The following is a 15,976-nucleotide window of genomic DNA, read 5'->3' on the forward strand; positions in this document are numbered from 1 at the left end:
CATAATTTTGGAACATATTAAAAATATTTTCTTGCTATCAACACTTAGATTTAAATAGAATTTCTATTTCAATCATGAAAATTTTTAAACATTGAAATCCACTGCAATGAAACAAATATGAAACCTCACATGGACATTTTACTCTTCAGCTGTTTTCATATTTTGCTCACATTTTGCAAGGAACCCAGAGATCCAAAAGAAATATCCTTAACTCTTTCCCGGCCAAGCCCTATGATCAAACACATGGGAAATAATCTATGGATTACAATAATCAAACAGTTCTAGAGAATTTCTAAATATCTGCAGGAAGAAAATCTGTGTGCTTTTCAAGTAAACTGCAGCAATCAGGAAAGAAGAGAAAAACCCCTTGCACAATCATGTATTTAAAAAAAAAATCTTTCTACTCTGCAGATACTGTTTCCTGAAATTTACCAAGAACACTGCCTTGAAGAGATAAAAAAAATACATCCATAGAAGTCAGTTCTACCCCCAAAAGAGCTGCACTGCACACATTTTTAGAAACATAAATCTCAGCAAATACAGTTGCATTTTATTGACAACATTAAAAATAATCACAACAAAGAAATAGCCTTTCCTATTCCATTTCAACTTCATTACCATGCTCTACTAGCCTCTACTAAAAAAAAAAAAAAAAAAAAAAAAAGTCATTACCTGTATGAAGAGAACCTGTTAATAGTCTGAGAAGGTACTGGGCAAATTTCAGTATTTCACGTTTACACCGCTTTCTACAGCCACTCATCTTAAGCAACAAGGTATTCCTCTGAGGAGAGCCAGAAGTCTTTGCCAATAATAATAATAATAATAATAAAAAGAGAGTCTCTGAGGAGAAACTTCTGTCTCAGTTTATGCACAGGCTGCCTTACAACTCCTGTGGAATTAGCTGTTAGCGCCTCAATCAGAAATTCCTTTAAAATGCTAGAGAAGCCAGATACAGCTACAACAGTAACAGGGAGGTGAGAAAACACGGCTTCTCAGTGTGGTGACCAAGTTCTTCTGTGGCAACAGACAGGCTGCCGGTTCACACTTGTAGTAACCCAGCTCTGGTTCGGCTCGGCATCCCCTCTCCAGAAGCAGTTGCAACCTCACAGACCATTCAGAGGGAGGCGGGGCCTGCGATGCCAGCTCATCAGTGAATCAGCATGTAAGCAGGTGAGAAGACAGATGACAGGTCACTGGGTCTGAAACCCTTCCGATACCAATAAAGGGAACCTGCGAGTGCACTCCAGCCTGCTGGGGAGGAATCTCAGGGCCCGAGGCTGTACAAAATGAATGATTCCCAAAAAAAGGAGGTGGGGAGAGGGAAGCATGCTGCTCAAGGTCAGACATCAGACAACTCCCTTGACACAGTGTTAATCAGATTCAGGAAGGCTACATGGGGGAAAGGCTCATTTGAGAAGCTGACCCTGATTCTAAACAGACTTGACGATTTACCACCAAATGGGGACAATGCTATTTTGTCAGGGATAAATGTATTCTTCTTCATGGGCTTAGAGGGAGAAAACAAGCTGTTTCTTAAAACTGGCTACATTTTCTGCACAGCGCGGGCTCAGGTATTTGGAAATTAGGATACATAATTGTCTCCTTTAAAACACAGTAGCCTAGAAACCAGAAATCTTAAGCCCTTTACATTGCCTCCAGGCAACAGAGCTCCAAAACTAATTTACTGCGTTGTCCTAAGAGAAAGAAGTGCCTCAGTTTCTTCATATTTCAAAAAGGCAAACACAACCATCTCCCTACCAATCAACTTTTTTAAAGTTAATAGCCAGAACAATTGCAAGGATTTGCAATTTTCACAAAGTACTTTCCTTTTAAGACATTGGGATAGAGGCAGTTGCTGTGAAAGCCAGAAAACTACAGGCTTGCCTTCTCTGAAAAAGTGGTTTTCCTGAATTCTTAAGTGCCTTAGGCAGTTTTCGGGATTTGTCTACACTCTTAATTTATACTCCTAGAGTTTGTTTATTTTTGTTTATTCTGAATAAATATAAATATTATATCTGTGAGATTTAGCACAGATGGGGCCATATTTTAAATACCTAGACAGGCCTTTTGGCTTCTTTTTCTGACAGTTGCAATAATTCTAGTTGAAACTGATAATTCCCAACAGTACTACATAAGAAATTATGTTCTTCTACACTAAAGAAAGAACTCCTGGACTCATAGACTGAAACACATTGAATGGAAACTCATTCTCTTCTAGAACTCTTCCCCATTCCCACCAGTCTCAGGGTTCTAACCATTCTAACCATTTAAATGGAATAACAAAGCATGCATTCTAGGAATTTTCAGAACTTTAATTGAAATTATTTAAGATATAAATAGACTCATACACAAAAATCAGCAACGTGCTTTCTGAAGTTCTTTCTCCTACACATTTACCATGAGTGATGGCATCCCTAAGTTTGAAATAGGCAGAAGAAATACACAATTGTAGTTCAACAGTTGGTTTAATTAGTTGAACACCCCATTTCCTTATCTACAAAAGTGGGAATAGAATGCATATTTTATTTACTTGTTGGAGAGTAAAATAAGATAGGGAATGGACAACCTTAAGCACAGCACTTTTATTCATAGATGTAGCAATTCTATACTGAACACCTATTATGTTCCAGACATGGTTCTATGTGCTGGGAAAACAGTGGTAACTGAGAAAGGCAAAGCCTCTGTTCTCATGCAGCTTACACCTAAACAAAGAAAACATCAGGTTATCAAATAATAAATAAGAACATATCCCATATGAGTAAGTGCTGTTGAACCAGGAGAGAACATTAAAACCAGCTGGCAGAATAGAAAGTGAGTAGGTTGAGAGGTCAGGAAAGAGGTCTCTAAGAAAAGAAGTTAAGTAGGAGTTTAAATTACAAGAAGGAACTGACCGTGAGATGTTTAGGGTAAAGGGCACCTTGGGTGGAGGAAACAGCTTATGCAAATACGCCAAGCTGCGAATGAGCTTGGCATCCTTAAGGAACAGAGAGAAGGGTGTGGCTGCTGAAACATGCTGAGCCAGGAGAGACTTCTGGGAGACATTTTCATGGATAAAGTCCGGGGCTACAGTATGTGAAGCCTTATAGCTGGGGTAAGGGATTTAGATTTCAGTCTCTTTGCCAGAAAGCCACTCTAGGGAATAGGGGACTTGTGTGATCTGCCTGCTATGAAAAGGATGAACTGCCAGGGAGCAAGAGTGGAAGAAGGAACACATGTGAGGGGGCATCACAGTGGCCCAGGTGAGAAACAATGGTGGCATGGCCTGGAGTGGAAATACAGGTAGTCAGTTTCTGGATATAATTGAAAACAGAATCAGTACAATTTGGTACACTGAATAGGGACATGAGGGAAAGAAAAGAATTAAGAATGAATTAGTTTGGGACATGAATAACTGAATGGGTAAATTTAATGAGTTGATGACATAGAAATACTATGGGATTGCTGGATCGTATGATAATTGAGTTTTTTGAGATACTCCATACTGTATTCTAAAATAGCTGTACTATTATAATTTACATTCCCAACAACAGTATATGCAGGTTCCCTTTTCTCTGCACCCTTAGGATACTTGTTATCTTTTGTCTTTTGGCTAATAGCCATTCTAACAGATATGCAGTGATAGATCATTGTGATTTTAATTTGCATTTACCTGATGATCAGGGATGTTGAATGTTTTTTCAGGAACTTGCGGGTCATTTGTATGTCTTCTTTTGATAAACGCCTGTTCAGGTCCTTTGCCCACTTTTTAAAATGCATTATTTGTTTTCTTGCTATTGAGCTATTTGAGTTTCTTACATATTTTGGATATTACCCCTTATCAGATGTATGGTTTGCAAATATTTTCTCCCAATTGTGGGTTATCTTTTCACTGTGTTTTTGTTGTTTTTTTTTGTTTGTTTTTTGCTGTGCAGAAGCTTTTTAGTTTGCTGCAATTTCATTTCTCTATTTTTGTTTTATTGTCTGTGCTTTTGGGGTCCTATATGATAAATCATTGTCCATACCAATGTCCTGAAGCTTTTCTCCTATATTTCAGTAGTATCACAGTTCCAGGTTTTACATTTAAGTATTTAATCTATTTTGAGTTAATATTTTTGTATATGATGTGAGATAAAGGTCCAGTTTCATTCTTCTACATATGGTTATCCAGTTTTCCCAACACTTTTTATTGAAGACACTGTCCTCTCCCCATGGTGTGTTCTGGGCACCTTTGTCAAAACTACTTCTGGGGATATATATAAAAAATTAAATTAGTATGTCAAAAAGATATCTGCATTTCCATGTTCATTTCATCATGATTCACAATAGCCAAGATACAGAAGCAACCTAAGTGTCCATCAACAAATGAATGAATAAAAAAATGTGGTATATATACACATTGGAATAATATTCAGCCTTATACAAATTAGGAAATTCTATCATTTGTGATAATATGGAAGAAACTCAAGGATGTTCTATGCTAAGTCAAATAAGCCAAGCACAGAACAACGAATATAGTATGATCTCACTTATATGTGGAATCTAGAAAAGTTGAACTCATAGGAACAAAGAGTAGAATGGTATTTACCAGAGGATGAGAGGGAAGGGCTGATGGAAAAAGTAAAAATGTTGGTCAAAGGTTACAAAGTTTCAGCTAAACGGGAGGAATACATTTTATTGATCAATTGTACAACGCGATGACCACAGCTGCTAATAACGTGTATTTCAAAATTGTGAAAAGAGTAGATTTTAACCATTCTCACCACAGAAAGATAAGTAGGTGAGGTAATCAAATTGTTAATCATCTTGATTTAATCTTTCTGCAATAACCATATATATCAAAACATCATATTGTACCCCATAAATATATGCCAAGTATTATTTGCCAATTAAAAACTTAAAAATATAAATAAATACAAATTAATACTGTCTGTAGTCTTCTAGGGTTAAGAGAATCAAAAGATCTGCTTTAGATATATTAGAATGTAGATATCTATAATGTACTCAAAAATTAAGATGGATGTTTTAATTCATTTAAAAATACATTTTTGTTGTTGTTTTGTTTTTTTGAGATGGAGTCTCACTCTGACACCCTGGCTGAGTGTAGGGGCATGATCTTGGCTCACTGCAACCTCTACCTCCTGGGTTCAAGTGATTCTCCTGCCTCAGCCTCCCGAGTAGCTGGCATTACAGGTGCCCGCCACCACACCCAGATAATTTTTATATTTTTAGTAGAGACAGGGTTTCACCATGTTGGCCAGGCTGGTCTCAAACTCCTGACCTCAGATGATCTGCTTGCGTTGGCCTCCCAAAGTGCTGGGATTACAGGAGTGAGTCACCATGCCCGGCCTACTAAAAATACTTTTTAAAATGAGAGATAAAACTAGAAAACCTACAAATGTCAAAAGGATAATAGATATGTTGTTCAATGCAGGCTGCTACAACAAAATACCATAGTCTGGGTGGCTAAAACAACAGACATTAATTTCTCACAATTCTGGAGACTGAGAAGTCCAAGATCGAGGTGCCAGAATATTCAGATTTTGGTGAGGGCCCTCTTTCTACCTTGGAGAGTGCTGTCTTCTCTCTGCATCCTCACGTGGAGGAGAAAGAGAGAGAGAGGTGGTATCTTCCTCCTCTTATAAGGACACTAATTCTATCCTGAGCACACTATCCTCATGACCTTATCAAAACCCAATGACCTCCAAATGTCACAGCTCCAAATACAATCACATTGAGAGGTTACGACTTTACATATAAATTTGTGAGCAGGAAAAACAAATATTCATTCCGTAAGAGAAGAATACTACAAACAGCCCTACAACATAATTTTCATGAATTAGATGAAATGGAAAAATTCCTTAAAAAATACAAACTAAAATAATTCACCAAAGATTAAATAGATAATTTGAATAGCTTTATACCTGTTAAGTAAGTAAATTTAATTTACAATTTATAAAATTTTCCATTAAAAAAAACTTCAGACCACATGGTTTCACTGGAGAATTCTATCAAACATGAAAAGAAGAATTAACACTAATTCTTCACAATCTCTTCCAGAAAATAGACAAGAGTTATACTTCATAATTCATTTTATGAGTACAGTATTGGCATGACACAACAACTAGAGAAAGACAATATCACAGAAAAGTAAAGTATAGACAAATATCTCTTAGAAGTATGGACTCCAAATCATAAACAAAATATTATCAAAGAGAAGTTAGCAATATATAAAAAGAAATATATATTATAGTCAGGTAGAGTTCATTCCAGGGATGCAAGCCTGGGTCAATATTTAAAAAATCAAAGTAGTACATCATATTATCAGGCCCCCCACAAAAAAAAATCACATGATTATATTCACTGATGCAAAAAAAAGCATATGACAAAATTCAACACTGATTCATGATTAAAAAAAAATCCAAGAAATAGGAATAGACAAACTGCTTTACTTTGATAAAGAACATCTACAAAAACCTACTAGTAACATTATGATTAATGGTGAAAGGCTGAATGTTTTCACCCAAAGATAAGGATCAAGACAAAAAAGTGCTTCAACCAATGTTATTCAACATAGTGTTGGAAGTGCTAGCCAGTACAATGAGGTAAGAAAAGAAACTTAAAGGCATACAGAGTGTAAAGAAATAAATAAAATCTTTCCATTTGCTGATAAGATGATTTTCTACATACAAAACCCAAAGAATCTATAAAAATTAAAATTTCTCTTTTTTTATTATACTTTAAGTTTTAGGGTGCATGTGCACATGGATGAAGCTGGAAACCATCATTCTCAGCAAACTATCGCAAGGACAAAAAACCAAACACCACATGTTCTCACTCATAGGTGGAAAAATTAAAATTTCTAGTATAAATTAGTGTCTTCAGGAATGTCATAGGATACTAGCTAAGTATTCAATTATACTACTTGAAAAAACCTGTTGTACTAGCAATGAACATATGGGCACTAAAATTTAAAATACAATATCATTTACAATGACTCAAAAAATGAAATACTTTGGTGTGTGTCAAACAAAACATATACAAGACTTGTGTGCTGAAAATTACAAAAACTCTGATAAAAAATAAAAAGATGATTTAAATAAAACATAGTAAAGATGTCAGTTCTTTACTGCAACTGCAAGCAAAATTACAAGACTTTTCGATCATAGACAAGATTTTTCAAAAAAATGTATATAGATGTACAAAGGAACTAGAATAGCCAGCACAATTTTGAAAAGTAAGTCTTGAAATCAGGTAGAATGACTTTGAGACTTATATGGCTGCAGTTCTCAAGTTTGTGAGGTATGGTTAGAACAACAGATGAGCACATGGTTCAGTGGTACAGGGTAGAAAATGCAGAAATAGAGCCACACAATTATGCACACCTAATTTTGACAAAGATGCAAGAGCAGCTATTCAGTAGAGGAAAGACAGCCTTTCAACAGTGACGCTGGAGCAAATGGACATCCATAGGCAAGAACCCAACCTTGGTGAAGATCTCACACCTTGTATAAATACTAGCTCAAAATACATCACAGGCTTAAATGTAAAATGTAAAACTGTTAAAGTTTTAGAAAAAAAAAGAAGAAAATCTTCAGAATCTAGGGCTACGCAGAGTCCTTAGCAATGTTCATTGCTGGTAGAACAGATGTTTTCAATTAGTATATATTCCAAAAACATGAGCCATAAAAGGAAAAATTAATAAATTAGATGGCATCAAAGTTTAATACTTTCACTCATCAGAGACCCTGTCAAGACAATGAAAAGACAACATACAGAGTGAAAGTGAAATATGCAAACCACTTATCTGACAAAGGATTTGTATCTAGAGTATATAAAGACTTTGAATATTCAACAATAGTGAAGCACACAATTCAATTAGAACATGAGCAAAAAACATGGAGAGTCATTTCACCACAAAGGTAAAACAGATGGCAAGTAAGCACATGAAAAGATATTTAATAGCATTACTAATTATTGAAATGCAGACTAAAACTACAATGAGTTATTACTACACATCTATTAGAATGGCTAACATAAAATCAAAAATGGTGTCAAGACCAAATGTTGGCAAGGACACAGAAAAACTGGATCACTCATACATGGACAGTGAAAATGTAAAATGTTACATTCACTCTGGAAAACAGTCTGGCGGTGTCTTAAAATTCCGAACATACATCACCTACAAAACCTAGCAATTGTACTCCAGAGCATTTATCCCAGAGAAATAAAAATTTATTTTCACACAAAAACCTGTACACGGATGCTTATAGCATTTTGACTTGTCATAGTCTTAACCTAGAAACAACCTAGATGCCTTTTAATGGGTGAATGGTTAATGAAATTGTATATGTCCAAACCATGTGATACTACACAGCAATAAAAAGGAATGAACTAGTGATAGACACAATTTAGATGGCTTTCAAGGGAATTACACAGAGTGAAAATGCCAGTCTCAAAAGATTACATACCACATGATTCCATTCATATAACATTCTCAAAATGACAGAATTATAAAAGTGGAGAACAGATTAGTGGGTGCCAAGGATTAAGCAAAGGGTGGGGGCAGAAAGAAGGGCATTCGCTATAGAAGTGCAACACGGCAGATCCTTGTGGTGATGGAAGTCTTCTGTATCCTTATTGTATCAATGTTGGTATCTGAGTTGTGATATTTTATTATAGTTTTGTAAGATGTCACCACTGCAGAAAAATGAGTAAATTGTACACTGCATCTCTCTGTATTATTTGCTTATAATTCCATGCTAATCTACAATTATACCCAAATAAAAATTTAATGAAAAATGTAATAAATAAAATTTTAAAAATACCTTTTGAGCCCCTTCTATGCACTACTGTTTTAGGTGCTGAATATACATGAGTGAACCCAATAGACAAAATTGGTGTCTCATGGAGCTTATAATGGGGAACGGGGAAAGAAACAACAGAGCAGGCAAAGGGACACTGAGCATGTCGAATGGAGGGAAGGGATGGCAGGGCATGTAAAGCAAGGTGATAACAAAAGTCCTCAAGAGAAAGTGATGATGTTTGAGTAAAATTTGAAGGTGGTGTAAAAGAGACCCATGTAGATACCTGGAATGTGCACATAGGTGCTTTCTCTGTATATGTAACTTTCTGTAGACCCTGGACAGTCAGCTAATAATCCACAAATCAATCTGTTTGAAAAACCTTCTCAAAATCAGCCCTCTGTAGAAGGTTCATTTTTCACATTGAAGCCTAGAGCACCAGCATGATCAATATTTTCTCTAGGGAAAGTAATTACTAATCACCAATTGTGTTGGATGTGTGCAAGGATCCCACTGCCTATATTTGTGTATTGTTGGGGAGTATGCAGGGAAAATAAAGTTGTTTAATGCTATCCTTGGGAAAACACAAAACATAATTAGGAAGAGAACTATACAAATATCACAGAGTATTAGAAAACAAAAATGTTCTTTTAATGATCAGCTAATTTGGATTAGATATAACTACCACTAGCAGCAATATCAAGAATCAAGAGTTGCATGTTCAATAATAACAGATGTCTTTAATATTTCAGAGATGTTTGAGCAAAGCCACTGTCATTTACAAAGAAATATAAGTGAACAGCTCATAAGGGCTTAAAGGTTTTCGAGATGAAACCAGTTTTGGCACATGGTAAGGGGACTACTAAAATTCCTAACAGTAAAGTTACAGAAAAATTTAGTTTAAATGCAAACCAGCTCATCATGTGATAAGAACAAAAGGTTCCTTGATGAGTGATGATTCCACAAGCAACTACTGGCCATGTGAAATAAGTTACAGAAGGACAAAGAAGTGTAGACTCATTTCAAGATATATTTCTCCTAATTGCATTTTGGAGGAAATGTTTTTCAGAGCAGCTCTTTTAGAGAAGGCCAAAGTCCAAATATATGAAATCTTAAATGCACTTAGATGATCCTCATTGCTTCTTAGAATGGAAAAATAAATGTGACTGATTGATTAAGGGAAGAAAGTTGGCTTCTCTTCAAGGAATGACGAGTGTAGTGATTCCCAAGAAGACTCTTCTCACAGTGGAGTTTTCTCTCAAAGACTGCTCCTCTCAAAACATCGTGGTGTGTTCTGTGTATCTCAGTGGGAACAGACATTGTTATGCCTTTCAAATTGTCACAAGTTGCAAAATTAAACATGTGCAGCATAAAAATAGCACACCATGGGGCTGCAAAGAGAAGCAGAGCAGAGCCTTGCGGCAAAGTCACAGGTTTTGAAAGTGGGTCTTGATAAAATATCAGACTTGCTACTGTCCATTAGAGAGGAACTCCCCAGTGCCAGGTCCATTATTATTCCAGAAGCTGTTCCCCTACTTCACTGAGTAAAGAGCCTGCCATGACACTACCAATGTTTGCATCAACTTTGGTTATAGCTCTGTGAATACAAAGCAAGTCAAAATCAACCCTACTGGCATAGGAAGTCCTCCTTTAGTGTGGCTAGGTCTAAATTGACCACAAACCATACGATAAACATTTTAGGTAATGTCTAAATGATGCCATTGTTGAGGCTTTCTGCCATAGTCTAATGTCACACAATGAAGACTAAATCATTGATAGATATGAGGATTCTGTATCACCTTGGTATTGAGTGTGACAATGTGAACAAATATTTACATGTAAATAGATTCACAGAAGTATCTACTAAATACAAATTATGAGCTTTAAAAAGTAAAACAAAACATCCTGGAGGGCCGAAGAAGTGAAATTTTTTCTAGAAGATGAGATTGAACTATTCTTTGTTTGGTTGTGTTTTTAAGGAGAGCCACTGTTTGTTATTCATGAGTGTTCAGAGGTAAGGAAAAGTGTTTATGACATATGTGTAGATTTTGGACAAATAGTCCATTGGAAATGTGCACCAGGTAGAGGTAAGGCTCCATTGATGAGACCCCACCCACCAAAAACTCTGTCTGAAGTCCTCATTGTTGTTGTTACAGGAGATGGGAGCAGATGTGATTAGCTGAGGGAGAGCCCTGAGAGTCAGAGACAGATGTTTACATCATACTTTAAAAAAAATAAAAATACACTGGAGAGTCCTGTCCAATGGAGACATGACTGGCATCATGGGCTTGGAATTTGGATTCTGTGTCAGCATCCAGGACTTCAAAAAAGGAAAGGTTGAGGGGTCAGTATGGTTAGGGGAGCTAAGTTTCCAGTCATAGATTTATACCTAGATTATAAGAAAAAAGGATGAGACGTGTCCTCAAGCCCAATATTCCATAAAATTAGGCTGACATTATCCTGAAACACACACATACACACACACACACACACACACACACACACACACACGGATAATGTCAGCTAATATACATATACAAAATCAACTTATGAGAAATTCTCTTTTTCCCACTCTTTGGTGGGTCATTTAGAATAAGGAACTGGGGTTCTAATTTCACACTGGAACATAATATCATATTGTTTACCTTTACTCAGATGCATTTTCTCAGCTATTAAACAGTCATGCAGTCTCCTGCCTGACAAAACACATGTAGTTATAGGAAGTATTAAAATACTACCCTACAATTATATAACCATTTTAAAGTGTTAATATATAAACTTTTTTTCTTTATTGAGATCACTGGAGCTCATCCACTTAATTGTATTTACACTCTTACCCATTTTTTCTCAAAGTACAATGTTTGGCCTATTTGCATCAGAACCACCTGGAATGCCTGTTTAAAATGCAGAATTCTTAGGCCCCGCCTCCAATATATAGACAGAATTTCTAAGTATGGGGTGAAGAGTCTTACAGATTTGATATCTCCTGAATTCTCAAAAACACAGACTTTTGATAATCAAAGCGACATAAGCCAAATACCATCTTGGAATGAGAAGTCAAAGAACAATCAAAGAGCAAGCTGAAGATGACAAAATTATGGCTCTATAAACTCCCAATAACCCACCAGATATTTCTGCCTAAAGCCACCTGCAGACCACTGAGAGGCTGGGATGTGGTCTTGGTAATGCATTCCCAGCCTTCCATTTCAAAACAAATCACAAGTGAGTCAAGGAAGCCTCATTTTCAGTTATATCAAAGGCAATCAATAGGCAGCTTTAAAACAATGAGGTTGCTCATTTGGCTTGAACAGAAGTCATCAACCGCAAGCAATCCTGTGGTGTCCATTGGAACCTAATGGACTCACACAGATTTGGTAAACTTTTTACAATATTTTACATTGCCTTTTTACAATATTTTATAGATTAGCCAGTTAACTAATATTTAAAAACAATTAGGCCACATATGTGATTTAAACTTTCGAATTCAGCATGCTATTTTCTCCCCTTCCTTTATTAATTTTTCTGCAGATTAGTATTTTTTAAATTTTATTACATATACTATTAGACTAATATAAATATGAGTAAGCTGAACTCTAACAAAAATATTTGTGTATATTTTTTAAGGGAGAGGCACAGAACTTTCTGTCTCATTCTGTTGTGAGGTGAGATCCCCAAAAAAAAACAATTGTGAGTCTGGGGTAACTAAGTGAAGGACAACAGCATAATAAAAAAAGAATTAAAAAGAACAATAAATGTCCTGACCTTCCCTTGGCCCCCAGCCAACATATACAGATGATGAGTTGACTCAGTATATATTTATTGAGTTTCTACTTACCAGGTAGAGGTTGAGAGCTGAGTTTCAGATGACGTTAAGATACAAACTGAGTATTTGGAAATGATGATTTACCATTCAGAAGAAAGGTCAATGTTGAAGGTCACATGGTGATATCATTCCTGAAGACATAGCAATTAAAACTGAATATGGATAGAATACCTGAAGGAGACAGAGGTGCCCTACAGGCTGTTGTCACATTGTCTCAGTTATAAATGGCATTGCCCTATTTTTCACTTGAAATTGAACTGTTTTACACTATTTCTTTATCATAAACAGATACTAGTTTTTAAGAAAGAGAAGATGCAAATAATTTTTTTTAAAGTTAAGATCATCAACAAAAAAAACAGGTCTAAATATTATTAAAAAATAACGGTAGTATTAAAACAGAAGTATTCTTGATGTGCTCAGTAAAAAAGATTTTGTGACTTATGTAAACACCTAGGAATAGTAGAGGCAATGGTATTACAGAATCACAGAAACATATATACTCAGTGATGTCTTGTCTACACCAGGTTACAATTCTCTTTAGTGTGAGTAATCCCTTTTGTGCTAAAATGTCCAGTGATGCTTTTATAACTAACTACACTAATGCCATAGGCCAAATGCCAAAAGAGAAGCACATATCCTAGTCCAACAGCTAATAATTACTGACATCATATAATGATAACCACCAGAGCTGCCAGCACATGCAACTTTTAGATTAAATTGGATAGGAGGGCCCACATTGGCATGCCCTGCTGGAAAAGGCAGCAATAGAACAGCAACAAGACATAACTGCTGTCATTCTTCCCAAATTATATATTCTTGTTTTGACTTACATAAGGCAGAATATTAGATGATGTGGAAGATGAATACCTCTTTAGCACTTCATCCTACAAATCTAAATTCAATTTCAACTAGGTAAAGGCAAAGCTTGGCTCAGAAATCCTCTGTGCCTTTTGAATGTCCTTGAGTGTTTCCTAAGGATTCATTTCCCAACAGCAGTCTGAGGACGACCACACTCACACACTCCCCTGGAACTTGCTGCCATACACCCTTCTCATCAGAGAAGCGTGATTAAATATTCAGGACCCTGCCATCGTGGTGCATAGCAAAGTAATGCAGGGCTCTGACCTCCTCCAGGAAAATCAGTCAGGGAACAAATGCATGACAACAGGTGGTACTAACTGCGTACTGTAACCGAAAACCACCTAATGCAGTTTTCATGTTACACACTCTCCAATGCTCACTGCAGAAGATGTTGTACTAAAAGCTTTTTTAAATGCATGCTGCAAATTCATATGCAGATCCAGCCACAGCTGACCTTCGGCCCCATGTGAACTCTGTAGCCAACATGTGCCTGGAAGAGGAGGCAGTGGAATGAGCCCTGGACTGAGTCAGGCTTGTGTCTGGCTCTCTCAAGGACTAAAGTTGGGCAAGCTGCTTCAGGTTTCAATCTCCTGATATGTAAAATGAAGGTATTATATTAAACAACATCTGTTTTATGTTCCAATTCAAAAAAAATCTAGAGATAGAATTCTAAATATCATTAAAATAGCCAAAGAATGCCCTGTAATGTGGATCTACTTTGATTTATTCACCCTTACCCCTATTGATAAACTTTCAGGATGTTTTCAGTTGTACTGCTATTTCAAACACTACTGCAATAACCAGCCCTGTACACATATCCTCACAATATAAAGCTTTATTTTTTCTATAGATTAATTTCATTAATGTAGAGGCACGCCTACTACCTATGGTTAAGTAATAAAGCAAGTTAAGAAGATATGTACATGTGATATGTATGATCCTACTTTTATGAAATAAAGCTACATTCTCTATGGGGTAGATTTCGTTTGTATAACATTGCAGCCTATTTTCTTGAAGGGAGAGAAAAGATGCTATAAGAAAAAGGAAATGGGCCAGACACAGTGGCTCACGCCTGTAATCCCAGCACTTTGGGAGGCTCAGGTAGGCAGATCATGAGGTCAAGAGATTGAGACCATCCTGGCCAACATGGTGAAACTTCATCTCTACAAAAAATACAAAAATTAGTTGGGTGTGGTGACATGCACCTATAGTCCCAGCTACTCAGGAGGCTGAGGCAGGAGAATCGCTTGAACCTGGGAGGTGGAGGTTGCAGTGAACTGCAGTGAACCAAGATCGCGCCACTGCACTCCAGCCTGGTGACAGAGCGAGACTCCGTCTCAAAAAAACAAAAAAAAAGGAAAAGGAAACAGCAACAAAATGGAAGTTATCACAATATAGTGGTAATATTTAGAATATAAAACTAAAATGTGTAAAAATATAAAACATTTTCATATACTGCTTTGAAAAAGAAATACAGATTAACGAAAAACTGATTTCATTAAGAGATAAAATATATAGGCAAATTTTAATTGGATTCCTTCTGTTACTGTTTTTCATATTGTTTTTGCAGAAAAGTAACATGCAGACAAAAAGGGAACTAATGAACCTGTGATGTGCATTTCCCTGAGCAGTTCCAGGACTGTGAAATCCCAATGATATCTACTTATTCTCTATGGGAAAGGCACCAGGATGAGAAATTCTCCTGAACTGTATGAACTAATCTTCACAGGAAACTTTTTAAGTAGGTTTTATTATCCTTCAAAAAGGATAGGAAAACTGAGGCTGGGAAGGGTTAAGTAACTGGCCTATACTCATTGCAGCATAAGTATCACAGCTTAAATGTGTTCCATTCTTTGCCTGACCCCAAACCTGTGCTCTAAAGCATTGTGGAACATCAAAAGCCTCTCTGCCTTCCCTACAGTCCAAAAATTCTCAATTTTCTACTATGGGAGCTATTAAAATTACACTAGATAAACCTGTATTTTAAAAGTATTCAAAACAAAACACAACACACTTACTTAGAGCAATAATAATAAATATTACAGAATAATATAATCCTTCCCGTTCTAAAATATTTTTAAAGAATATGATAACTTTATATTGGGTCCTAGATACCATACTGTATTTAGGGAATTTACCAAGATAGAGCTGGCTTTATTGTAAGTCAAGCAAAATGAACTGGCGTTCTTGTAAGCTGGGTTCAGTCTACTATTATCGGTTCTGTACAGTGTCTCCTCGTGTGCTAGTGAAACAGGATGGGGGGCGAGGAACCTCCTTCCCATCTTTTACTAGCCTGAGAAGTATCTTTTCAATATTTTATAATTTTGCCTTTGGCAAAGGGCTGCTTATCTCCTGGGAATTCAGGCACATTTTGAAGATTTCCCCATAGCCAATGAGCACAGAATGATTATTCTCACAAAAGTTCTTAAGAAATGTCACCTCTCTTGTGTCTCCTTCTTTCTAGATAAGCTCTCCCCACACCTTTCTCCTGAGACAGTCTAGAATCTCCCTT

At 36.4% G+C, this 15,976-nt stretch overlaps 1 protein-coding gene across 5 annotated transcripts in view; it reads right to left on the minus strand.

Annotated features, from left to right (window-relative positions):
• Positions 1–15,976, minus strand: part of KCNIP4 (potassium voltage-gated channel interacting protein 4) — a 1,220,167-nt gene that overhangs the window by 968,072 nt on the left and 236,119 nt on the right. For 2 of the 5 annotated variants that reach the window (NM_001035003.2, XM_011513885.4), the window contains exon 1: positions 673–1,063. The exons of the other annotated variants lie outside the window; for them this stretch is intronic. In NM_001035003.2, coding sequence (NP_001030175.1) covers positions 673–760 — 88 coding nt within the window. In that variant the 5' untranslated portion in view covers positions 761–1,063. Of the gene's footprint in view, positions 1–672; positions 1,064–15,976 lie in introns of those variants that run through there. 5 annotated transcript variants of the gene reach the window in all.

This window comes from Homo sapiens, chromosome 4 (genome assembly GCF_000001405.40).
Source record: "Homo sapiens chromosome 4, GRCh38.p14 Primary Assembly".
Taxonomy (NCBI): Eukaryota; Metazoa; Chordata; class Mammalia; order Primates; family Hominidae; genus Homo; species Homo sapiens.